Genomic DNA, 1,294 nt, shown 5'->3' with positions numbered 1-1,294 from the left:
TACATATTTGTCTCTGTTAGATATACTGAATTATCAGAGTTTGGCATAGAATATTATAAAACTATAAACCCAGCCAAAACAAAATGATCATTGTGTAACTTTTTTTTGATAAGTAAAACTAACTTAATGTTGTTGGTTTAATGAAAATTGTTGACTCTTCTGAGTTATTGGTGGAAACACCCATGTAGTTAAATTTAAAGTTCTTATTAGGGTGGGCACCTGATATTCACAGGTTATAAAATAATTAACAAGGGAATGATTACCAGTTTTGTCTAATATCTCAGTTCTCATAAGTAGTGTAGATAAACTGCTAAAATGAATAAAATGTTAATGGAATAAATGAAATTTAAAAATATTAAAATTACTTTTGTTTCTCCTGGGATGTCTGAGTCATTTCCAAAATTGTAGGATTTCTCATCTATAAAATGCTAATATTTGATAGACCAGGATTTGTTGCTGGTCTATCAGCAACATGTAATGTTACTAAGAATAAGAGTTGTAGTTAATATATAATTCTGTATACGAAATATGCCAAAAATATGTATCCTTATTGAGAAAAAGAATAATTTTGTCTAATTCGCAAGTTATCTACAGATTAATTCAAATTACGGTCTTGAAATTTTTAAAATTAGGTAGAAAGGAACCATTAAGCAGGGGAGAGAGATGTGAAGAAAGTTATGATATGAAATTGTATTTTTGGTAAATAAGATTATAAAGAAAAGAGAGGAATTTTGTATGAGAAAGAATCTGGTATGGCAAATGTTTGTCCTAAAGTTAGATGACTGGTTATTTAAAATAAAGAGAAAAATTATGACAAAACAGAAAGCCCAAACATGTTATAGATAGTCTGTCCTAAGTCATATGCAGTTTTTATTTTTCCTGTTACTGTATGTGTCTATCTTTATGCACATATAGAGAAAATAAAAAGTTGAAAAACTTTAGGTAGTAAAGAATTCTTTAGAAACTGATCAAAAATTGGAGAGATTTGTCTAATTAACACTACTCATAAAGTTAGATAAAACAGGAAATAGTGTAAATAATATTTTGGCAGTTCGGCAACTCTTTTTTAATATAGTTAAGCATGAAGTCAGCTTTAACATGGAGCCAAATTTCTCATAAATGCTTCCAATGCTTTGTTTCACTTTATATTTGCTATTCTGCATAGATAGTACTAGCACTAAAGTACTTACTGGTCATATGCCTGAGGTAAATCTCTTACTTGCACAAAATGTATAGCAGTGTTGGTGGACTTAAAGACATTGATTTATATACAAGGAGCAACATATCTATCACA

This window comes from Homo sapiens, chromosome 5, assembly GCF_000001405.40.
Source record: "Homo sapiens chromosome 5, GRCh38.p14 Primary Assembly".
In the NCBI taxonomy this organism is placed as follows: Eukaryota; Metazoa; Chordata; class Mammalia; order Primates; family Hominidae; genus Homo; species Homo sapiens.
This window is presented reverse-complemented; position numbering follows the sequence as displayed.